Source organism: Homo sapiens, chromosome X (assembly GCF_000001405.40).
Source record: "Homo sapiens chromosome X, GRCh38.p14 Primary Assembly".
Taxonomy (NCBI): Eukaryota; Metazoa; Chordata; class Mammalia; order Primates; family Hominidae; genus Homo; species Homo sapiens.
Window position 1 is genome coordinate 82,739,622 of NC_000023.11, and position 26,429 is coordinate 82,766,050.

The following is a 26,429-nucleotide window of genomic DNA, read 5'->3' on the forward strand; positions in this document are numbered from 1 at the left end:
GCCTCCCAAAGTACTGGATTACAAGCATGAGCCACCGCACCCAGCCTCCCTCAACTTTTGTATTGCACCATATACTGGTATTTGGGAGAGAAAAGGTTTTGTCAGAGGAGAAGCCACGTAATTCTACAGTGTTATTTTTCCTAGGCAGGACTCTCTATGGCTGAGGGCCTTAAGAGTTAAAAGACTGATAGCCAATTAATTGTTCTAGGCCATCTAGGAACAGATGTAGACAGGCATTAATTACTTCCTAAAATTATCATTTTAAGTAAAAAAAAAAAAAAAAACACCAAAAGGCAAAGTTACAAGACTGACTTATTTTTATCTTTTATGTGTTGAGCTGTAAGCTTGGTTTCTGTTACATACTTATAGCAATTAGCTATATAAAACATAAACATTGTTCTGAAAAATAATTAAAAATATGTATTTATCAGGCCAGGCATAGTGGCTCGTGCCTGTAACCCCAGCACTTTGGGAGGCTGAGGCGGGCAGATCACCTGAGGTTGGGAGTTCGAGACCAGCCTGACCAACATGGAGAAACCCCACCTCTACTAAAAATACAAAATTATCTGGGCGTGGTGGCACATGCCTGTAATCCCAGCTAGTCAGGTGGCTGAGGCAAGAGAATCGTTTGAATCTGGGAGGCAGAGGTTACGGTGAGCTGAGACTGTGCCATTGCACAGTATAAATATATTTATAGATATATTTATCTATAAAGATATATTTATAGATATATTTATCTATAAAGATATATTTATAGATATATTTATCTATAAAGATATATTTATAGATATATTTATCTATAAAGATATATTTATAGATATATTTATCTATAAAGATATATTTATAGATATATTTATCTATAAAGATATATTTATCTATAAAGATATATTTATAGATATATTTATCTATAAAGATATATTTATAGATATATTTATCTATAAAGATATATTTATCTATAAAGATATATTTATAGATATATTTATCTATAAAGATATATTTATAGATATATTTATCTATAAAGATATATTTAGATATATTTATCTATAAAGATATATTAATATATATTTTTATCTATAAATATATATTAATATATATATAAATATATATTTATATATATTTTTATATATTTATATAGTAATATGTATTTTTATATATAAAAATATATTTATATATTTATATATATTTTTATATATAAATATATATTTATGTATTTATATATTTTTATATATATATATTTATATATTTATATATATAAATATATATTTATATATTTTTATATATTTTTATATATAAATATATTTTTATATATAAATATATATTTATACATTTATATATATTTATATATATATATTTATATATTTTTATATATATATTCATATAAATATATATTTATTTTTATATATTTATATATATAAATTATTTATATTTATATATAAGTATAAAATAAATATAAAATATATATAAAAATACAAAAATACATATATATATTATATATAATATATAAATAATGATATAGAGATATATATATCTCGTGATATATTTATCGTCACAACTTATAATTGGGTGTATTATACCCAGGAGGCTTTGTTAAAAGTTATTTTATCCTGTTAGCAAACATTTTCCTTTAATTTTATAGTAAGCACAAAATTTTTATGGTTGGGTTGGATGCAAAAGTGACACATCATACTTTAGAAGGCAACTAAACTTGTTTTACCAGCTGTTTAGGCATTTTTTTTTTAGTATCCTGTTCTTGATTTAGAGGGTTTGATTTTGTCCTAATTTTATTCCTCAAACCCAGCCTTTACGATCTTAACGCACCCACCTCTTCCGCAGTAGTCCCTGGGCCTAGAGGGAGGCAACTTGTATGGTTTTAGCAGCAGAGCATTAGTAGTGAAACAAATCCGATCCCAGTGGGATGCCAAATGACGGAGATTCATATCTCTGGCCTTCAGAATACCATGATTTTGGTTTCCTTGGAAGTAAAACAAAAAGAGATAAATAACATTTATTGTTTGGCAGTTATAAGAGTAATTTGTATGTTAAAACAGAAAGAGGAACCTATTCCATTAGGACACCAACTAAAAACATGAAGAAAAATTATAATCCGGTACTTTTTAGAGGATTATTATAGCCAAGAAATAATGTTTTAATCTGCACTTAAAAAGTCAGGGCTTTTGGGAGGCTTAGGCAGGTAGATTACTTGAGGTCAGGAGTTCGAAACCAGCCTGGCCAACATGGTGAAAGCCCGTCTCTAAGAAAAATACAAAAAAATTAGCCGGGTGTGGTGGCGGGCACCTGTAATTCCAGCTACCCAGGAGGCTGAGGTAGGAGAATCACTTGAACCGGGGAGGCAGAAATTGCAGTGAACCAAGATTGTGCCACTGCACTCTGGCTTGGGCGACAGAGCAAGACTCCGTCCTAAAAAAAAAAAAAAAAAAAAATTAAGGCTGAAATTTAGTATGAAGTGTTACACTTTACCCTTTAAACATTTTTTTAGTTGCCTTTTTTATTAAAGACAATATTACAGCAAGGACAATTTGTGTGCAAGGTTAGTTTTTGGCTTATTATGCTTGCCTGATTATTTGCATAAAATGCAGAAAGAAATTGGCTGTATAGACTCTCTATAAAGTTCGTTTTGCTGAAACTTTATCTAAAAATAGACTGTTTTAGTTTCAGTCTTGGTAAAATAACCAGTGTCTCCAGTTGTTTAAAAAAAAAAAAAACTATCATTGAACTTATGCAGGTAACTATATTGTCATAAAATTGCAATTTGAATTTTGCAGAACTCAGAAAGTAAATTTGCTTACGAAAACATACTTTACCCAAATCACTTAAAAGAAAAAGATTTTCCTGACCCTCCTTTAACCAGAGCAGCAGCTTTTAAGACAAGATGTTGTTTACTTTGGAAATGTCATTTACAAACCAAACAGCTCAGGAGAGCTATTAGGCACTCTGGAATTTAGCAGTTCCTTAGGATTAGTCCTAGAAAAGAGGCTCTTTGCTTATTAGGTAGCAAGATTTTATGTAAACCATTTTTATTTAATCATGGAACTTTTTGGGAAACATTATTTTCATTAATATACGGGTAGCTTTAGTTAATATTCCACGGCAAGGCAGTAAATGACCATCAAGTAGAACCTCTCTACCTCAGTTGTTGTTGTTGAAAAGTATTTACAGTTTTTGCTATCAGCCCTGATAAGTGCTTCACACAAAAGGCTATCCAGTGGAGGATTTACATGAGCAGATTTACACGTCTTCAGTTTTATAGTACTAGAAAAGGAAAACCACCCTTCAGTTAGATATAGTACCCATTTTTATAAGACAAAAAGGGGTTACAACTAACCTACATAAAGCTTGTTTAAACATCTTATATTTTATAATTTTATTAATTTGTATGTTTTCATGTTCTGTTCCCAGGAAGCCTTTTTTTTTTACCCCCAGACCATTTGGCCTTTTCTGGTGAAAAGGGTTTGGGTTCCCAGCAGGGAGCTGCATCTATGAGGGACAGCAGATTAGATAAGGCTTTTAAAAAGACCTATGGTTCTGTGGGAGGGGCACCCATGTAAAAGTGGCCCCCTTAACCCCCAAATTTACCATGACCAGGGTAACAGACACATTAGGTGGGATTGGGTGGGATGATATCCCAGTTATCATAAAGCTATTCCAACATGGCTTGCATAAGAAACAGAATAACTGGTTTTTCTGGGGTACTTTACTTGGTATTTTGGAGGGAGAGTTGGGCAGCCTCCTTTTCAGGGCAAACAGACCTTATAATGGCATTATCTGGCCCACTAGGCTGATTGCTTTTTCAGGAATAACCCCCTGTGCATTTGGATCACATATACTCAGTGACTGTTCAGTAATGAGCTGTGCGTCCTACATTAATCCAAACATGCTCTTAAATTCTGTAGCATTTAAAATTAAAAATTTTGTCTTTCTTTAAATGTCTTTAAAGTGGTTATTTTTACAATTCACTATAGTAAAGGTTTTTTTTTTTTTTTAGAAGCTGAATTACACCGATCTACCAAATGGAACAATTTCTTTATATTACACGCTTTGGTTTTAACTAGTTACTCAGTTTTGCCCTTCCCCCATATCAACTGTTTTCTTGGTAACCACAGCGCTCAGAGTCAACTTTTGCTGCCAGAGCTTGGTTTTCAAAATCAATTTAGTTTTATCTGTAGAATTTCCTTCATTATAAAGAAACCCTTAAATAGTTTCTTAACCAAAAACCTTACATTTCTTTGAAAATTGATATCTTTTGGTTTTATAAAATTTTACCAAAAGCATTTTTATGTTCCTACTATTTTTAACTTTTAGTAACCCAAATTTCCAGTGGGGAAAAAAACTGAGGTTTTATCATGACTTTAAGATGTTAAATTACTGAAGAATGTTTTAAGATTAAATTTACCAAATTTAATTTTTTAAAACATTACCAAGGTTATGTAAATCAAAAGGCATCCGAGCTAGCTATTACCAATCTAATAAGCACTTACATTTTTTAAGTTACTTGATTAGAGCTCTTTCATGTAGTTTGGTAGTGAAATATCACTTCTATATGACACATATAAAGATAGAGATATAATAGGCATGCAGAATAAAAGTCATGTTCAAAAGATACTTTATTTGCCTGTTTTCAAAAACAATTTTTCTCCTTTACTTTAGATAATTAGTAAAAGTCATAGGAGCCAAAAAAAAAAAAAAGGTGAAGGACCACCGTTCAAGGCCTTTTTAAAAGAAAGAGTGGCACTTTTAAGATATCAACTTGAAGAATGTTAAAGAAACAGATTATAGAATTTAAAAATTTAAAAACGTCTTGCATTCAAAATAAATCAATACTTGTAATAAAAATTTGTTTTAAACAATTATTTAGCTTCGTACTAGTGTATGTTTTAATATTAAATAGCCATCTCTAGGAATATTATTATGATTTCTTTTTGATTATAGCCAACTGAATTATACAGCCCCTTTAAAAAATTTATTTTACTAACGTTATTATGACTTACATAGTTCATTCGCAATGTGTTTAGACTCTTTTGTCTTAAATATCTCTCTTTCTTGTACAACACCATCATTTTTATTTTAGGACAAAAATTTACTATGCAAGATCTTTTCTTATATAAACTGAGTGTCCCTTTTACTTTTTTTCACCAAAAATACATCTTTATATCTTTAACTTTCTTTACATCTCTTATTTCCTGAGTCCTTTATATTGTTTTATACATAACCCTTAAATAAGCCTTGAATTAGACAAATATATTTTACTTTTAATAAGAACATTTAAAAAATTGTTTTCCTGTAATTGTTAAATTGGAAATTGCCCAGATACTTAATATCAATTAATAACCTTAGATCCTAAATTATGACAAGTTTGTTTACAAGTATTTATTCCATTACCTTTACCTGATTAATTTAAGTTTACCTAGATAATTTACAAAAAAACTGTGATAGCAAATATTTAAAGTTATTTTTCTATTAACCATTTTTATAGCTGCGGATTTCAGGTATTTACCTAAGTAACAAAGCTTATGATTAGTTTTATGAATAACTCAGTATTCAGCTGTTTTTATTTAAGCCAACAATATTTCATAATCATATACAATCAAAGATTATTCTGTCTTGGGCTAGGTTTTATAGTTTATAATCCTTATGGCAAATCTTGGCAAGTCTTATAGTATTTGGCAGGAATTAAACATGAAACTACTTGATCAATAGATGCAAACAAAATGCTAACAATTCTAAAGACATCATTATTTTACCATAATCTTAAAGCCAGCTTGCTGGGCACAGTGGCTCACACCTGTAATCCCAGCACTTTGGGAGGCCAAGGTGGATGGATCACAAGGTCAGGAGTTCGAGACCAGCCTGGCCAATAAGGTGAAACTCCGTCTCTACTAAAAATACAAAAATTAGTGAGCATGTTGGCGGGTGCCTATAGTCCCAGCTACTTGGGAGGCTGAGGCAGGAGAATCGCTTGAACTCGGGAGGCAGAGGTTGCAGTGAGCCGAGATAGCGCCACTGCACTCCAGCCTGGGCGACAGAGAGAGACTCCATCTCAAAAATAAAATAAAAATAAATAAAAAAAAAGCCAGCTTATTTAGTAAAGATTTTAAGTCACGTGAACTTGAAAAAAACATTTTGAAGGAAGAGAGAGACCCTCTCATGTTGTTTTATATTGTTTTATACTCAGTACCTGTTTTAAGAAAAAACAACAAGGAAGTAAAACCAAAGACAGGCAGCCTGGCGCCAGGCCCGAAACCAGGCCTGGGCCTGCCTGGCCTAAATCCAGTAGTTAAAAATCAACTCAAAACTTAGAAACCAATGTTATTCATAGATTCCAGACATTGTATAGAAGAACACTGAAACTCCCTGCCCTGTTCTGTTTCTCTCTGACCACCAGTGCATGCAGCCCCTTTGACATACCCCTTGCTTGCTCAAATCAATCACGACCCTTTCATGTGAAATCTTTAGCGTTGTGAGCCCTTAAAAGGGACAGAAATTGTGCATTCGGGGAGCTCAGATTTTAAGGCAGTAGCTTGCTGATGCTCCCAGCTGAATAAAGCCCTTCCTTCTACAACTCGGTGTCTGAAAGGTTTTGTCCGTGGCTCGTCCTGCTACAATTTGACTTGTCTTCCTTTTTTTTTTTTAAGTATCTGATTTAAGCTCTTTTTTCGAAGCCAATTAATTAGAGCTCTTCATATATTTTTAGTCCTGAAAATATTGTGGGCTGGGTGTGGTGGCTCATGCCTGTAATCCCATCATTTTGGGAGGCCAAACTGGATGGATCCCCTGAGGTCAGGAGTTGGAGACCAGCCTGAACAAAATGGAGAAACACCATCTCTACTAAAAATACAAAATTAGTGGGGAGTGGTGACACAAGCTTGTAATCCCAGCTACTCAGGAGGCTGAGGCAGGAGAATCGCTTCAACCCATGAGGCAGAGGTAACAGTGAGCCAAGATCGCGCCATTGCACTCCACCCTGAGCAACAAGAGCAAAACTCCGTATCAAACAAAAAAAAAAAAAAAAAAAAAGAAAATATTGTGTGTACACACATAAATATATAGATGTATTTAGGCATGCTGACAGAAGTATTTCATACATTCATGAGATACTTCCTTTTTCCTTCTTTTTTTCTATTTCTATTTTAGACTTTTAAATTCTTGAAAACATGTTGCATCACCCTAGGCAGTCATTCCCTAAATAGCCCCAAATTTGCATATTAAAGGAAACAACTCAGATCAAGATCAGATAGCAAAATTTACATCATAAGGTATGGGGAGAAAGTCTGGTGTGCTAGAGGGAAATTAAAACGAATTTAATTGCCATTTGAACATAAAATTATAGAAATCTATTCTAAAGGCCTTTATATATATACACCCATATACATACATACACACAAAGTTCTCATAGCTATTACTTCAGTACTTTAGCCATGAGACAAGTACAACTTTGCCAGCTTGCAGAAAACACTGTTAGATCCGAACAGTGGTTTTCATCTTAGTAGAAGAGTAACAGAAGATTTAAAGCAGGAAGAAAAGAAAATAGAGAAAGAGAACCTTAGGTCGACCTTAGCAGTCTTTTTCCTTAGTGTAAAATGTGCACAAAGGCCATATTACTTCAAGTAGAGGTGCCATAAAACCTAAGGAGTGCTCGAAAGGGGGTCATTCTCCTTGTTTTCACTTTTTTCGTAGCTAATTCTGAGAGAAAAGCAATTGAGAAGACCCTTTAGAAATGCATCTCCTAACTTGAATTAAGATCCGTAAACAACACCTTCCCAGGAAAAAACAGCTTAGAATAAATTAAGGACCTCAACCAAAGGGAGGTCCAGGGCTCAGGAAGACTTACCCATTCCACTGGAGGAGAAGCTCGAACTCGGTGGGGCTTCAGTGGGCCCGTGCTAGTACCTTAGTTCTGGTTTCCACAACTCCTTCGGGTTCCTGAGTCTTCTCTGAGGCTCCACGTGTTTGGGTGCCAGATTATTGTTGACGAAAAGAGTCAAACTCTGTAAAATATTTTAAGAGATTAATTCTGAGCCAAATATGAGTGACCACGGCCTGTGACACAGACCTCAGGAGGTTCCGAGAACATGTGCCCAAGGTGGTTGGGGTACAGCTTGGTTTTATATATTTTAGGAAGGCATGAGACATATTAGGAAGGCATGTAGATTTTTCCCATAAGAGATTTTGCAGGGCAATTTCAATGTATGGCACGGAAATATATTTTTGGGTAAAACATTTTGATTTTCTTCCTTGTTATGCCAGAGTCAGATCGGAAAGTAAGTAATTATATACAGGGTTAAATAAAACCCATCTGATGAGAATGTATGGTTTGTAGGGCATGACTCCCCAGACCACTTAGAAAGGAATTTGGGCAAGATAAAAGAAAAAAAAATCAGAGCTTAATCCTCATAAGGTTTAGTACTATCCACAATTTCAGGCATCCAGTTGGGGGTCTTGGAATGTATCCCCTACTATATATATTTTTCTATTAGTGATGTTGCACCTCATTTCACATGTTCATATGTTTAAATTCACTTATATTTTTCTACAAACTGTCTATACATATGCTCTGCCTATTTTTCTGTAGGGTTTTTAGCTCGTTCTTATCGACTTTTAGAATTTTTTTGTAAAGTGAGGAAATTACTGCCTTGTCAGAAGTGTATTTTATATCCTGTTCTCTCTTGTTTGCATTTTGTCTTTATTTATGGTACTGTTTCAATGAATATAATTATAAGTTTTATAAAGCAGTTATGTGTATCTCATTTTAATGGTTTTTAGATTTTGTGTATTGCTTTAAAAAAACTTTAATTAATTCAGGATTCTTTAAATATATTTCCTAAGTTTTCTTCTAGCTGTTTTATAATACCCAGCTTAAAAATCTACAATTTTAAATAAACCATAACAAAACAACATACTCAGATCTCAGAGATACATTATCCTAGTAAAGGATTAGAAAATCAATTATAGAAATGTATCCATGATGGATGAATCCTAATTCAGTCACTTATTTAGAATAGACTTACATAAAATTTGTGAAACATGGAACTACATGGTAGACGAAGTGAACTTTCTTCAGAATCATTAACATGGAAAAATGTGGGGGACAAACAAATTATTCTTACATCCAATACTTAAGGAAAAAATTGTATGTGCATGTAGTTGTAAAAGAATGGTCAGAAATATTGCTGCAACATGCTAAAAGTTGCATTAACTCAATATTTCTCTTTTTTGCTGTGGCACGTTGTAGCAGGATTGAGGGACAATAATGATTGGATAGTGAGTTTTCTGCTATGTTCAAACCAAGTTACTTCCACAGAGAGAAGTTCATCCTGCTGACGGAACTGCTTTCCAGAGATAGAAGATGGAGGCTCTCATACTAAATTAAGGCTACATGAAGCATGCATGTATTTCTTCCTGTTAAATTCTGAAGGGCTTACTTGTTGGCAGAAATGACTCATAATGACTTAAACAGATATCCATCTGTAGTGTATTAAATAAATGAGAGGCTGAAATTACTTAAGAGATGCTCAATGTATTTGCAGAAACAATAAGCTTTGAAAAAGGGAGATGAAGCTTTATTTCCCCAGGAAATTTCAGTGCTTCATTCAACACATGAATACAAACCTAATTTAGTGCAATGTCACTGGTAGACGAGGGACTCAATTTCAGGAATGTGAAGTATGCTGCATTTTTTTTGGCATGCTCTGTGGTCCCTCTAAAAACCCTTTTTCTGAACATTATTAAATTAGACACATTTCTTTCTTTATGCTTGACATCACTTTTAGGATTAAGATAAAAACCAGGAACTCACCTGTACAATTTTGCCTTATCATTTACAATAAAGATTAAGACCAGCAAATGAAAATAATGCATACAGTGTTTTCATGAAAGGCTGGACAAAAGCTGCTGAATTAATACTACTTTAAATTGCTGCACTGTACACATACAGAAACTCAGTCAGAACAAAAACATCAATGCAGATCCATAGCCCTGGTTTACGGAATAAGACTGTGATCTTTAGATTAAAATGAAGTTCCCACAACACCTTGTTTTTGTGACCTAAGAGAAGTTTATAAATCTTTCTGATACTCCATTGGCTCATTTATTGATTCGGAATACCTAACTCACAGGGATTTTCAGAAGATTAAATAAGAAAATATATGAAAACTTCCTAAATTCATAAATTTCTAAAGCTTACAATAAGCACTCAATTGATGTTAGCTATTTTCATTTGATAATTTTTCCCTCAATGCTGTGAAGTTAACATGTCTAGCCCAGTGCCTGCCATGTAGTAAATGCCCAATAAATGCTAGTTGCATCTGAAAGGCATGTGATTAACTACTTCAAACTAAAATGTTAATGACACAGTAACTTATTTTGTTTTAGAGTGAAAGATATTATTTTCTATATCCACTTGAAGGAAGAATTATTTTAGATGGTATCACCTTAATTCAAGCTTATGTGTTATTAATAGTGTATGTTCTACAAATATTGCTGATTGACAGAAAAATTCTGTAAGGTCTGTATAGATTTTCTTCATCTGTCAGGTCCCAAAAGAAACTTATAATCAGAAACTAGGATTTATTGTGGTTAGGAACATGGACTTGGATTCAGAATGATCTGAACTCAAGGCCTTGCTCTATCACTTTTTAGTTATGTGTCCCTTGGATAAGTCACTTAAGATTTCTGAAACTTAGGTTGTAACTCAGTACATGTTATTTTTATTGTTGTCATTAGTTGAGGCAGAACATTTTCTTTGACATCGCCTTTAAGTACAGGGCGCAACGTTTTCTGGTATACGCAAATCTCACCCCCTAAATGTACTTACATGGAAGAAGTGACTATCCAGAGTCTCAAAAAGCGCAATATAGTACATATCAATTAAAGTACAGACATCAGGGATTATATGTTTGCATCACTGTGTACATGAAGACACACTTCCTTAAAGATTTGAAATGCTTCACAGAGGACTTTATAATATTACACTTTCAAATCATAATAAATGCATTAATCATAAATCCTGCATTTCCTATATGCTAAATGTATTTCCTACAGCCACCATGTAATATAATTGGATTTGGAAAAGTAAGGACATTTTGAAAAGCAAAAACACCTTTTTCAGGTTGTTGTACTAGGTTACTCCTAGTAACCTGAGATTCCTGCACAAATGTAGCAGGACATAAAATTCCAACAAAAGCAGGTACCAAAAAATTTTCATCATCTTGTCTTTCTTCCTTGACTTGGGTCAGAAGCTCATTGTATTTTAAGACACAAACATTTTTAACTCAGTGACCTGAAAGCCAAAGGTTTTTCAGAAAGACCTTAATTCAGTGACATTATACAACTTATCTTAATGCTTGAGAATCTAGTACCTATCTGTGCTTTACAACACTTACTGAATTTCCTTCTTAATAATCTCTACATTCTTCTGTGAATGTTTGCTTCTCAAAGATATAAAATGTGAAGTTTTTCATAACTATATCTGTAGTGTTGATAAAATGATAGTCAAATTATATAAAGCTGTTAGAAGAATATTAAAATAATGAAGGTGAGAGATAATTGAGGGTTGAAAATAAGTCAATGGCAGTGGAGGCAAACAAAAAGCTATTCCCTAAAACTTGTGGGGTTTGGGAAAAATTCCAAAAATAAGATAATTTAACAATTATTGTGCAGTTCTAGGTGTTCTACTGATGAGGCAGGAATTTTGTTTTTGTTTTTGTTTTTGTTTTTGTTTTGAGACGGAGTCTTGCTCTGCTGCCCAGGCTAGAGTGCAGTGGCGCGATCTAAGCTCACTGCAAGCTCCATCTCCCAGGTTCACGCCATTCTCCTGCCTCAGCCTCCTGAGTGGCTGGGACTACAGGCGCCCATCACAATGCCTGGCTAATTTTTTGTATTTTTAGTAGAGACAGAGTTTCACCGTGTTAGCCAGGATGGTCTTGATCTGACCTCATAATCTGCCTGCCTCAGCCTCCCAAAGTGCTGGGATTACAGGCGTGAGCCACCGCGCCTGGCCAGGAATGTTTTGATGAGTAATAAAATAAATACATAAATAATTCATAAATTTGTTATATTTATTTTATCAAATATATATTTCTTACATTTATTTCACCAAAATCACCAATGATGTTTTCATGATAACGATTTTCACATTATTTGTGTTCTGCTTGCAGCAATGCTAAATATGACAACATGTCTTGAGTCATGGTAATTTCTAGCTAGTTTTTCATTAGTTTCAATTTGAAGAAATTCTTTTCATTTGAAATAGTAGTAACTGCAATTGTCAATAACATTATTAACTTCCAAGAGATACTTAGATTATACAATGAACCATTATATTAGTTAGCCTTTCTTGTATAATAAAATCTTATTGACTTAAGACAGCAATTATTTTGGCCGGGCGTGGTGGCTCACCCCTGTAATTCCAGCACTTGGGAGGCCGGGGCGGGTGGATCACCTGAGGTCAGGAGTTTGAGACCAGCCTGACCAACATGGTGAAAACCCGTCTCTACTAAAAATGCAAAAATTAGCTGGGTATGGTGGCACATGCCTATAATCCCAGCTACTCGGGAGGCTGAGGCAGGAGAATTGCCTGAACCTGGGAGTTGGAGGTTGCAGTGAGCCGGTCATTGTACTCCATCCTGGGCAACAAGAGTGAAAGTCCTTCTCAAAAAAACAAAACAACAAAAAACAAACAAACAAAAAAGCCAATCATTTATTACTTCAGGATTCTGCATTCCAGCAGTTTAGACTAGATTCACCTCATGATAAATAAGTTACAAAACATTGTGACCATATTTTTTCAATAAACTGCAATCACCTAGTTCAAAAATTATGGGCAAACACTGTAATGGAATTACATCTTATAAAATAGTGTTATTATAAAACATATTAATTTCATCACACAAATCCCCATGCCTTATGTTGTAATTTTCACTATTTTCAATGCATGATCTAAATCCATAGAATATTTTTTATAAAAATTAAAATCTGTTTATTGAAGTATCATTTCAGGTCCTCTAAACATTTTCAGGATTCCTTATTTTGTAAAATAGTAATGTGCACATAAGAACACATGAAAGAGTTAAATAGTCAAACCACAGTGAAACAGAAAATAAATAGAGTTTAACCTTAACTACTGAAAGCAGTGCAGAAATTGATAATACCACACAGGAAGTAAATGTCATGTAAAGATCTCTGAAAAATGCAAGAAAAATTCCTGATAGCATCCGTATTAGAGGTATGTTGTTTTTCACCAAAAGTAATGGACTTTTACTAATTTATTTATTTATTTATTTTTAAGTTGTGTTTTAAGTTTAGGGGTACATGTGCAGGTTTGTTACATAAGTAATCTTGTGTCATGGGATTTGTTATTCAGATTATTTCTTCACCCTGGTTTTTTGTTTGTTTGTTTGTTTTTTAAGATGGAGTCTTGCTCTGTCGCCCAGGCTGGAGTGCAGTGGTGCTATCTTGCCTCACTGCAACCTCCACCTCCCGGGTTGAAGCAATTCTCCTGCCTCAGCCTCCCCAAAGCTGGGATTACAGGTGATGGCCACCACACCCGGCTAATTTTTCTATTTTTGGTAGAGACGGGGTTTCATCATGTTGGCCAGGCTGATCTCAAACTCCTGATCTTGTGATCCGCCCGCCTCGGCCTCCCAAGATGCTGGGATTACAAGCGTGAGCCACCGTGCTTGGCCTTCAAGCAGGTATTAAGCTTAGTGCCCATTAATTATTTTTCTTGATCCTCTCCCTCCTCTCACCCTCCACCCTTAATAGTTCCCAATGTCTGTTGTTCCTCTCTGTGTGTTTATGTGTTCTCATTATTTGGTTCTGACTTATAAGTAAGTATATGCGGTGTTTGGTTTTCTGTTCCTGTGTTAGTTTGCTAAGGATAATGGCATCCAGATCCATCCATGTCCCTGCAAAGGACATGATCTTGTTTTTTTTTGTTTGTTTGTTTGTTTTGAGATGGAGTTTTGTTCTTATTGCCTAGGCTGGAGTGCAATGGTGCAATCTTGCCTCACCACAACCCCTGCCTCCCAGGTTGAAGCGATTCTCCTGCCTCAGCCTCCCGAGTAGCTGGGATTACAGGCATGCACCACCACGCCCGGCTAATTTTGTATTTTTAGTAGAGATGGGGTTTCTCCATGTTGCTCAGGCTGGTCTATAACTCCCGACCTCAGGTGATTGGCCTGTCTCCCCCTCCCAAAGTGCTGGGATTACAGGCATGAGCCACCACACCCAGCCGATCTTGTTTTTTTTGGTTTTTTTTATGGCTGCATAGTATTCCATGGTGTATATGTACCACATTTTCTTTATCCATTCTATCTTTGATGGGTATTTAGGTTGATTCCATGTATTTGCTATTGTGAACAGTGTATAATTAACATAGTCTTACCCTCAACAATCTTTTAAATACATCATAAAATTAAAACTTATTTATTCTTTGACAAAATTAAAACCTACATTTTAGAAAATATCAAGTATTATTTGTTCAACATGATTTTTGCCAGGGTATAATCAAATTCTACTGAATAAGACTTACTTTTCAAATTGTATGTATGATTTCTTTCCTTACTTTATTATGTATTAAATTTAAAATCTCATTTTGAATTATTCATCTAGGTAATGATTATTTTTTTCTTCATTTTACAGGTTTAGCCAAGAGATTTTAATATAATATCTAATAAGCCTAAAATTTTTGTTTTCTTTCCATATTATTCTTTTAAGAACATCATGTCATTGTTCTATATTGGCCTGTACTTGTCTTTGTGATACACTAGTTATTACTGTTTATTCAAACTTTTTTCCCCTCACCTCCAGTGTTGCATGTATATAAGTTACAGCTTGTGTTTTTTTAATTGAGAATCTAATAGCCTCATAGTCATAAATACCTTCATTGGCCCAAAATGATCTTAAGGATTGGGTGTGGAAGATGAAGTGGAAGTAACAAAACATATTGGTTTTGTACAGAGAATAGAAAACACATTTTCACAGATTGTTTATTCACCTGAAAGACTCTTGGTGTAAAATGAAATGCTAAATATGCTACCACATTCATCCAGTTAGGGGAAATGTAGCATCAATTAAAACTGAACTACACTTTGGTAGGCCAAGGCGGGCAGATCACGAGGTCAGGAGATTGAGACCATCCTGCCTTAACACGGTGAAACCCCATCTCCACTAAAACTACAAAAAATTAGCCAGGCGTGGTGGAGGGCACCTGTAGTCCCAGCTACTCGGGAGGCTGAGGCAGGAGAATGGTGTGAACCCGGGAGGCAGAGCTTGCAGTGAGCCGAGATCCCGAGATTGCGCCACCACACCCCAGCCTGGGTGACACAGCAAGACTCCGTCTAAAAACAACAACAACAACAACAACAACAAAAACTGAACAACTGAACTGGGGTCGGGTGCAGTGGCTCACACTTGTAATGCCAGCACTTTGGGAGGCCAAGGCAGATGGATCACCTGAGGTCAGGAGTTCGAGATCAGCCTGGCATGGTGGCTCATGCCTGTAATTCCAGCACTTTGGCCAAGGCAGTCCTATCACTTGAGGCCAGCAGTTCAAGACCAGCCTGGCCAACGTGGCAAAACCCTGTCTCTATTAAAAAATACAAAAATTAGCCGGATGTGGTGGAACGCACTTGTAATCCCAGCTACTCCAGAGGCTAAGGCATGAAAATCACTTGAACCTGGAAGGTGGAGGTTGCAGTGAGCCAAGATAGCGCCACTGCACTCCAGCCTGGGAGGCAGAGCAAGACTCTGTCAACAACAACAACAACAACAACAAAAAGTACTTGTACTTGGATCAACTTAGATATTTTTTGCTTGAAAGTAGCAGAAGCCACAGAATCAAATAGCTTAAACAATATGATCTGTATTGTCTGACATAACAAAAAATGAAGACATAAGTTTATTCTAAGTTTAGTTAATTCAATGGCTCATTGACACAAAAGACCGAAGTCCTTGCCAAGGATTTTCTCTGCCATTCCAAGCATTTCAATTCAGATATCTTCATGGGAGCAAGATAGCTGCAGCACTTTCAGGGATCAGATTCAGACATAAAAAAGCCCAGAAGAATAAGAACAAAGGTAGGTGTTTCTTGCATGTATCTGTTCTCTTTTTATTTAACCATTAAGTAAAGTTTTTCCTAATGCTCCCCAAAAACCTTTCTCTCTGGTCTCATTGATCAGAAATGAGTCCCAGGCCTGTAACAAAACTAATCACTGGCCAGAAAAATTACATCACTTATCTTGCCAACATTAGTTGACACTCATTCCCTGGATTAGAAACAACATCCACTTATCTTAAATGCAAAGCCCTAAAGAAAAAGTTACTACATAAGTAAAAAATAGTGTTTTGTTAAGAAAGAGGAAGGGGAGGAGTGGATTTCTGTTGGATATACAATCATCAGTATCTGTTATAATACATAAGAACTATTTTGTGTATATTGAATAAGGTAATATATGTTAAAACATTTGGCATATAATAACAAAGAAATTAAGACTCATAGTAGCAGAATTAAAATTCTGCTATTCAGACCCAACCTGAAATGCTTGGAGTTGCAGAGAAAAACATTAGCAACAACTTTGGTATTTTGTATTACTGAGACACTGAATTTACTACACCTAGAATCATCTTATGTCCGGATTTTTTGTTATATCAGACAATACAGGTCATACTGTTTAACTGTTAGATATGAGTTCTAAATTTCTTTTGAAAGAATCAATGTCAGTATATTCAATTCTTCGCCTTCTACTTTTGAACTTAACTTCCTCATAAAGCACACTTTTTCAATTACCTGCTCCACCCTGACTCATTTCAATCACCTGCTCCACCCTTACTCAACCAGATTAGCTACTCCACCCTGACTCATTCCGATTACCTGTTCTGTCAGACCATTTTTCCGGCCAAACCACTCACCGTGTCACTCTCTTTAAATTAGCCAGTCGGAATTAGTTTAGCCTGTGTGGTCTAACCCTAGCCAATAGGGGAAGGACAGAGCAGCAGGGGCCACGTGCATCAGGGATAAGAACCCCTTCCCCTCCCTTGTCCAAGAGTGTGCTCACCATTGCTCCACCTGTAAGGATGCACCCTTCTATAGAAGTACCTTGCCTTGCTGAGAATTAAAAAGAAAATTTTATATTCCAGTGCTATTTCTTTTGTGGCACCGAAACTTTTTATATAACATAACTGTTTGAGTAAATAAAATTCATGAGGAAAACAGCTAAAGATTTATTTAGCATCACTATCCAAACTGATTATGGGAAGAGCACCATAACAGGTACAAAGAGGGTTTGTACAATGTGGAAAGTACACGACAACTGATCTAATCAAACTTCACTCTGGTTTTTTAGCTATTCCAAATCTTTGGGTGCTATGATAGTGAATAATATCCAACAGGCCAAGAGCAAAATCAGTAAAGCTGAGACCAATCTGTTGCATCTGATTGTGTGTCTTAAGTAACCCAGTATTCATGGCCACTGATATGTATATATTAGTGATGCATCCATCCAAAAGCTTTTCCTGACACTTAACTGCATTTTCTAGAGAAATGATACATAAAATCAATGTATGCAATTGATCAGAAAAAAGCCTTTGATTGTTTTGTGTAATGGAACAAGAAAACCACTGAGCTAAGTTTCAATGGTATTCAAGTCATATGTGTGCTGCAGCAGTCCACATAGATTACAATGAGCAAAATTGTCCTTTCACAGCCAGGGCTGGGAGGAAAAACTTCCGAGGAGCTCTCTCCTGAATATATAATATATTATATATTTTCTTCAACTCCTTGGATTAAACAAGCATCAGAAAAGTATGGAAAAGGCAGCTAGCCCACAGATTTTCTGAATTTTCAGTGTTGACTGATTTTAATAAGAATGAAAGTGCAAATGACAGGAATTTTGTAACTTCCTTAACCCCAAATTAATGCCATTCGACTTGCACATTAACAAAACAGAATGCGGAGAACTGTCAATATGACACTTGCAAAGTTTCAGGTGTTTGGATTAGAAGGTTAGAAAGCTCCCCACCCCGCCCCCCCACCCCCTGCCTGCCACACACACTCACACAATATTGGCTAACTTCTACATTCAGTGGATGATTTCCTACATGGTAGCCAGAATTTCTGATTTGATTCCAAAAACAAAAGATGCCAAACATCTGCTCAGAAGGAAGTAGCAAATACTGGAACTCAATGTTCTTTATACTTGAGAAAGGTTTATAACAACAAACAGCTTTTACATGACTCACTCAGAAAAAACTAAAGACTCTTCTAAAACTACTTTTCATATACCTGCACTGAAGCAACAGTCATCTTTAAGCCAAATAGGCGGAGAGAAATGACTTCTTCAAAGTATTCAGGTAAAATTTCGATGAAGTTTAGCTATTAGATTGTATTTTCTGGAAGGCAGCTCACTGTTGTGTTTTTCCACATTTGGGAAAAGTAAAAATGGTATAGTAATTCTGGGTGGGTCCACCTTGTTAAAATGGGCATAATTGTCCATAACCTCATTCCATTGTGATAGTGGAATTACTTTTTAAGTGTGGCATAATTGAATGATAAGAAGGGTTAGTGTGAATCACATAAATATCTCAAGGATCCAGTATGCCAAAGTTAGAATCTATAGCATAAACCTATAGTATAGTAAATATTCAATACATTGTCTTTTGTTTCCTTTCTAAGGTCATTTTTAAATTGGGAAGGGTTTGCTTTATTGTATTACTAATAGTTATTTAACCGCTGAAAGTAAAATAAAATTTAGAGGCTTTTAATCTGATGTTAAAGATTAGGGTTATGAAACAAAATCCAAAAAATGCTTTGAAGGCCAAAATGTATGTTTTTTCTCTTCATGTTTCCTGTTCACTTTCCAGTCATCTTTAGAATAAATAACTCTTTTGCAGACCTCAACCAAATTAGTCTTCCTCAGGATGTAAACTCCTTCCTTTTAACTAACCTAGAATATGTCAGGGGTTTTCCGAAACAGCTAGCATTAAAAATAAACTCACTTAGAGAAATTCAGAAACCCTAGGTTCCTCTGCTAAAGGATGAATACCTAATGAATCTGCCTTTCCAATATGGGGAACTGAAGATGTGAACAATTTCTTCCTATTTGTCCCTATTCTTTCCTCTATTTAATGCTTATCGCAAACTCCAGGAGACAAGAAGCTATTATCAGATCAATTATCTGGGCTTGGAAAACTTATGGGGACATATGTCCCACTTCCACCACAATATAAGAGGAGAAAGTTTACCACTGGCATTGAAGGCAGTAAAAATTGACCTTACCAATAGCCCAGCCCATAACCCAGGAAGGAACACTTTTAAACCACTGAGGTGACCAATATCTTCATATATATATATACACACACACATACATATTTAATTCCTTGGCCTGTATTTGTCTTTTTATTGTATTTTTTAAATTTTCTTTTGAGATGAAGTTTCACTCTTGTCACCCAGGCTGGAGTGCAATGGCACGATCTTGGCTCACTGCAACCTCTGCCTCCTGGGTTCAAGCGATTCTCCTGCCACAGCCTCCTGAGTACTGGGATTACAGGCGCCCGCCACCACGCCCAGCGAGTTTTTGTATTTTTAGTAGAGATGAGGTTTCACCCTGTTGGTCAGGCTGGTTTAGAACTCCTGACCTCAGGTGATCCACCCGCCTCGGCCTCCCAAAGTGCTGGGATTATAGGCATGAGCCACTGCGCCCGGCCTGTATTTGTCTTTTGACAGACTTGCACAGAATATGCCACACTTAAAATTAATATTTTTGCACAGCTTGCATCGTTCACACAGATGCCCTGGTAAGAATAATTCAACGTGTTCACAGTGGGTGGATTTCTTTCTCTCTCTTTCCCTTCTCTTTCTGCCAAAATCTGTGGGTGATCTTTCTTAAAATATAGGTCTGGCTAGTTCAAAACAATAAGATGAAAGTCTGCTGTGCCATATTATATATGCTTAGCTGTAAGACTTTTATTTATTTGCAAAAGATCACATGGCAATTGATTGAATTATGATGAGTTGGGAGTAGGAAATAATAAAATTCACTCAACAAAGTAATTTGGAGTCACAATGTATGACAACAGGACCAATCCTTGGCCAAGCCAGGGTAGCATCTGACTCAGCCCAGGGGTCTAGGGCTGCTAGTCTCTTGCTGCTCTTCCCTAATGCTTCTTTCAAAAACAGGATCCTGCAACCATTAAGTACAGCTTTTAAGACTTTATTTACTATTCATTTTTCTTCAGACACTGAATAGCCCCCACTCCTTACTGCTATCTATCCAATTCCTTACCACCTAGAATCACTTTTTGGTCCACCTCAAGTCTCACCTCCTTCAGAAAGCCTTCCCTGATCAAGCCAGTCCACATTGTTCTCTGCTCTGAACTCACACAATACTGATCATTTAAATCTGACCTTTCATTTTAATATAACTTTATACTTTGTGGTAATTGCTTATACTCATGAATTACTCAGTAGCTTTAATGTACATTTATTTTGTCTCTCTACATATGGTATACATGCTTTAAGTACAGCTTTCATGCTGTGTACTTCTTTGTGTTTAACAGCACCTAGCCCAGGACTATTCCTGTGGTGCATACTTAGTAAATCTCAGTTAAATGAATGTGGAATGTATCTTATGTATCAGACGTAAGAATTGTTTAGTTGCTCTGATTTTTACAATCTAACACTTTAGCTGATAACAAGGGCCTTATTTTTGATAAATTTTCAACTTCCTCTCAGTAATAATATGGGTGCAGATTCCATTTTTCAGTTGCCTGAGACTATTTACTATCCATTTATACACATGTGTTCCAGGATGATACCCCAGAAGTTATTCTGGAAATATTGTAATACATACCTCTGGCTATATACTCAGATTTCACCTAAAAGGGAGTATATGTGATAATATAACATGTGGTTGTTATAAACCACAAGAAAAAAAATTTGTTCACTGATCCTTTGTCGTCTCTTTATATTCTCCTGGAAATTTAAGAAAATACAATATGGGGTTACACACATCAAGGACTTACGCATAATTGGCATTTTTTGTTGTTCTCAGGTTTAACTAGCATAATTAATGCTCTTCTCTCTTGCATATAGTTTTAAATGATACAATTATAGAGCTAAAATGGAGATGATATTATCCAAGCTTTCCTGGGAGTGTATAGTACAAGATAACAAATTGTCTGCTGTACCTTTCTTCAAAAGTGGGCCTCAGGCTCCATACTGCATCTATGTGGGCTAGACTAAAATATGAAGAAGGATTTCAGATATTTGAATAAGTATGTTCCTTTGGAACAGGTATAATGTGGATATAACTTACGTTGAATTTAATTCTATAGCCAATAGAGATGGAATGAGTTTCCACAGCATAAGAATTTGGAAATTGACTATGAAGGTAAAATACAAATTTCTTTTATCAGTATTATTACTTTACTTTAAGTTCTGGGATACATGTGCAGAATGTGCAGGTTTACTACATAGGTATACACGTGCCAGGGTGATTTGCTTCACCTATCAACCCATTTAAGCCCCATATGCGTTAGGCTTTGTCCTAATGCTCTCCCGCCCCTTGCTCCCCACCTGTGTTGTTCCCCTCCCTGTTTCCGTGTGTTCTTATTGTTCAACTCCCACTTGTGAGTGAGAACTCTGAGACACAATTCCTTAATTGGCTTTGTAGCTGGTTAATTTAGAGAAAATTTACAGCACATAGTGGAAGGGATTGTGGGGATTACTTATCAAATACTTGATAAATAGAGCTGTTTTTTCCTTTTTATTATTGCTGTATTCCACAAAGTGTTTTTGTATTCTCAGCTCAGTTTTAAGATCTCAGGGTGGGGAAGAGGGGGAACTTTATATGTCATGACTCTTTATACTCCTAACTTTACATAGCCTTCTAAAGTATTCTAAACTTTTGCTTTGAAGTCTCTAGACCAGCTTATTACTCAAACATAGATCATACTATTATCTTACTAAAAATATCCACAGAGAAAAAGAGATATTCATTTTACCTATTTTACTTTTGTCTGTTAATTAGGAAAAAAACACTAATTTAAACCAAGATATATTATGGAGACATTAAATAAGGGAGGAAAAGATGGAGGGGGACAAGTGTTGGGAAACAACCTATTGAGTACTATGCTCACTACTTGAGTGGTGGATTCAGTTGTACTTCAAACCTTAGCATCACACAATATACCTTTGTAACACACCTGCACATGTATACTTTGTTTCTATAATAAAAGTTGAAAAAATAAAATAAGATAAAATTCATTTAAAAAGAAAAAGCTTCTCATACAAGTCAATATTTATATCCAATATATAAAATAATTTTAGAAAATAATTAACTTAATGAAAATCCATACAAGGATCAGAAAGTATGGATAATTCTATTCTCACTCTGGGCACAATATAGTCACTATCTTGCTGTCAAGCTGATTCAATCAAAGATATGTCTACAACTCCATGAAGTTCTAAAATTCCAAGATCTAGCCTTGAATGAAGAGGAAAATAGAAGTGAACAGTAAACCTATCTATGATTTTTTTTTTAATCCCCACATCTTTGGGACAAATAAACCTTATTAATATTTGAGACAAATATTGAATATATAATATAAAGAGAAATGACAGTTTCATCACTATTAAAACCATCACAAATAATTTCCTTTTTTTTTTTTTTTGTGATGGAGTTTTGCTCTTGTTGCCCAGGCTGGAGTGCAATGGTGTGATCTCGGCTCACTGCAAACTCTGCCTCCGGGGTTCAAGTGATTCTCCTGCCTCAGCCTCCCGAGTAGCAGGGACTACAGGTGTGCACCACCACACCAGGCTAATTTTGTATTTTTAGTAGAGGCAGGGTTTCTCCATGTTGGTCAGGCTGGTCTCGAACTCCCCACCTCAGGTGATACACCTGCCTCAACCTCCCAAAGTGCTGGGATTACAGGCATGAGCCACCTTGCCCAGCATTGAATTTACTATTTTTTAAATAAATAAAGTAGCTCAAAGGTCTTATAATCCAGATCCTGGGAGACTGAGAATAAGTTTCTGGTTAAAAATGCAGAAATGGCTGGGTGTGGTGGCTCACACCTGTAATCCCAGCACTTTGGGAGGCTGAGGTGGGTGGATCAGGAGGTCAGGAGAGTGAGATCATCCTGGCTAACACAGTGAAACCCGTCTCTACTAGAAATACAAAAAATTAGCCTGGCATGGTGGCACGCGCTTGTAGTCCCAGCTACTCAGGAGTCTGAGGCGGGAGAATTGCTTGAACCTGGGAGGCGGAGGTTGCAGTGAGCCAAGATTGCACAACTGCACTCCAGCCTGGGCCCTGGGTGACAGAGCAAGACTCCATCTCCAGAAAAAAAATAAAAAAATAAAAATGCAGAAATAAATACTTCAAGATAAAAGTCAATGGAAGTATACAAAAACTATTAAAAACAAATAATGCAAAGTCACATGCTTAGCTCTTAGTAAATATCATAGAAACGTGTCCAAAAAGTAACTACTTGTTGGAAAATGGCATTCAAAATTTTTAAAAAATATGAATAAATTACTGGTGCTACAAGCAGATTGAGCATTAAAGAAATGTCAAAGACCTGAAGTTTACGGTATGCATATGACAGTGACTTAAAATGAAGCTTAAGTAAGTCAGTTAAACTTGGCTTTAGTAATGCTGTAATATATTGTAGAGCTATACCACATACACATGCATGCATGTACAAAATCATGCAAAAGTGGAAAATGAAAGTAACTAATGGCAGCCAGTTTACAAATAATTAGATTGATATCATCTACAGATGATCAAGTAATTACTGCCAAATCACAATTCTAACTGTAAATCAATTAAATATAATTGCAAAGAAGTAGAACATGGAAACATCCACAGACATGCAAAGGTAAACTCAACAGACATAAAGAAATAATCCTTAGAGTGAAAGTAAAACTTAAAATGACAAAAACTGAGCAAACTTTTGTGGCTGGAGATACATTATGAATAATAATAAGTACTTGTTTTATCTGTCAAATTTTCAAAGAACTTTTAAAAGTCTCCTATCATTTGAGTCTCATAAAAACCCTAAGAGATAGGTAGGGCTGAAATCACTGTTGAATATACTTTATATATACACACTCAAACTAATTTTTAATTAACACACATAATAAAAAGCAAAATGTAAATTAAAAAAAATTTGGAAACAAATTATTAAAGGTTAAAAAAATAACATTTTACAAAACCATATTATAAGGAGAACTATAAAATGGTGGCAAAGTATAGTAGTACCATGTAGGTAGAATAAGATAAACTGGGGTTGAAATTCTGTTTCCGCTATTTACTTCCTGTGTGATCTTGGAGAAGTTACTTAACTTCTTGAACCTCAGCTATCTCATTTGCAAAACAGAGGTAATAACCATTATACTTAGCCTACTGCCTGGGACCTAGTAGTGGCCCAATAAAGGACATTGTTATTATTATCATTATTACTATTAATTGTCATCTGCTTGGCAAAGTCCTTCATCATTAAAACCCACCTCTGTGAGCCTTGTTCTGACTCATCCTTCAAGCAATCTTGTGAGCTCTTTCCGTTCCCTCCCATAAAACTCTGTTATTCCTTTATTATCAGACTTATCATTGCTCTATATTCATCAGTTGTCATGTCTGTTTTCATCACTAAGATTATGATCTCTTGAGAAGAGGTACTATATTATTCTTCATTTATATCTCTAGCACATAATACAGTGCTTAGCACATAGTAGATGCTCAACAAACATTTGTTGAAGGAAAGCAAAATAATTATTCTCAACAACTTCCAGGATGTATTTAAATGCCTTTGTGCCTTGGAATTGTATTCTGGGCTGTGGAGTGTTAAATTACAAAAATATAAGAGCATATAACAGGAAACAGTAACAGGAAACATAAATATTGAATGTGTTACGAGTATACCTAAACCTTCAGTGATTTTAAGTGTCTAGCACTTGGCCCTACACATAATTTATGCTAAACATTTTTATAGTAATAATGAAAGAGACAAATAAGAAACCCTGAAAAAGTTCCCAAAGAGGGTAAAACACCTGAGTCATACCAAGGATTCAAGAAATATTAACAGAGAAACAAAAGGAAGGCAATAGTGAGTGAGCAACTAAGAGAGAGAGAGAGAGACAGGGAGAGAGACAGAGAAAAGTTAACAAGCATTTAACTATTTGATGGAAGGAGAAATAAGCATTCCATCTATATCTGATTGGTCCTTCCTTTTCCTTCGTCAAAGGAATTTTAAGAGAAAGTAAAAGCACTTCATGAATGTGAAGAATCATCATAATTACTATTATAATTGCTATTTCATTGAAGAACAAGGTTTTGATTTGATGAAATAAAAAATGACTTTCATTTCTTATTAATTAAATACAGCAAAAATGCCATTTTAGAATAATTAAAAGTTAAGAGATGACACAGTTCAATTGTGAAAGAAAATTATTTGAATACTTATAGAAAACTTTTAAACACAAATATCTGACAAAAAGACATCAACCTCTGAATGTTTTATGTCCTCCTTGTTGAGATTCTTACAATAATGTTTGCCACAACCTAATATTATTGTTTCGTACATATCTTTAGCCTTTAGTTTTCATTTCTTTATAGGAAGCTTTCAGTGCCAAATGACCAAGAGAACCTTGCTGAGGACATCTCCAATAGGCCGGATTTTTAACTCCACATCAGCTTAGCATTTGTTTCTATATACTGTACTGTGTACTCCAGGCTGTGCAAAGAGAAGAAAGCTAAGAATCTTACTAAACAGAAACTGCATTTTAATAAATGTACAAAAGTTAAGATGATCGTTTAAAATATTCTTCAATACACAGTAAAAATCAAGTTAAGTACCTTTTGGTTATGGGGGATTAGTCCTTTTTCATGAAATGCAGAACTTCTGTTGATCACTTCTGTGTGTAATTCTGTAGATGTCCAAAACAGTAAAACCGTGAGAGTGGGCCCAGATCCTTAAACTGACTTCTCCTTTTCCCTATATCTTTACTGAAAACAGTTATTTAATTCAAAAACCTCTTGCATAGCATCTTTTAACTCTTTCTCAGGCTTATCTTGGTTGCTTCTCAGTAAGATACTACAGCGTGCTAGTCATTGTACCCACAAATATTAAAGATGATTTTAAAGTAAAATAAATGAAATGAAATAAAAAGAAGGAGGTAGCCTGGCTTTAGGAAGGAAAGTTTTTGAAACTCCTGTTTCATAAAATACTTTCACATCCCCTTAGAGTTCCACTGAGCTTGGATCCTTCATTTGCTTTGATATGTAAATGGAGATATTACTTTCTCCCAGGGTACCCTGGAGATCTGCCAAAACACATAAGGGTAGATGTCCTTCAGGATAGAAGCTGAGCTGCCTATAACAGCAGTCAAAGCCAAGTTTATATTTGGGCTTCACAAT

The 26,429-nt window shown here is 35.3% G+C and overlaps 2 long non-coding RNA genes across 2 annotated transcripts in view; one reads left to right on the forward strand and one right to left on the reverse strand.

Moving 5' to 3' along the window:
- Positions 1–1,553: 1,553 nt before the first annotated feature.
- Positions 1,554–26,303, reverse strand: LOC105373287 (uncharacterized). The gene is made up of 3 exons (XR_938456.3): positions 25,869–26,303; positions 7,847–8,003; positions 1,554–1,972 (listed from the first exon to the last, which is right to left on the reverse strand). It is a non-coding gene; the product is annotated as an uncharacterized LOC105373287 (long non-coding RNA).
- The window catches only part of LOC105373288 (uncharacterized), a 42,537-nt gene continuing 34,343 nt past the window's right edge, over positions 18,236–26,429 (forward strand). Inside the window, exon 1 of the long non-coding RNA XR_938457.3 lies at positions 18,236–18,363. This is a non-coding gene — a long non-coding RNA (uncharacterized LOC105373288). The remainder of the gene's footprint in view (positions 18,364–26,429) is intronic.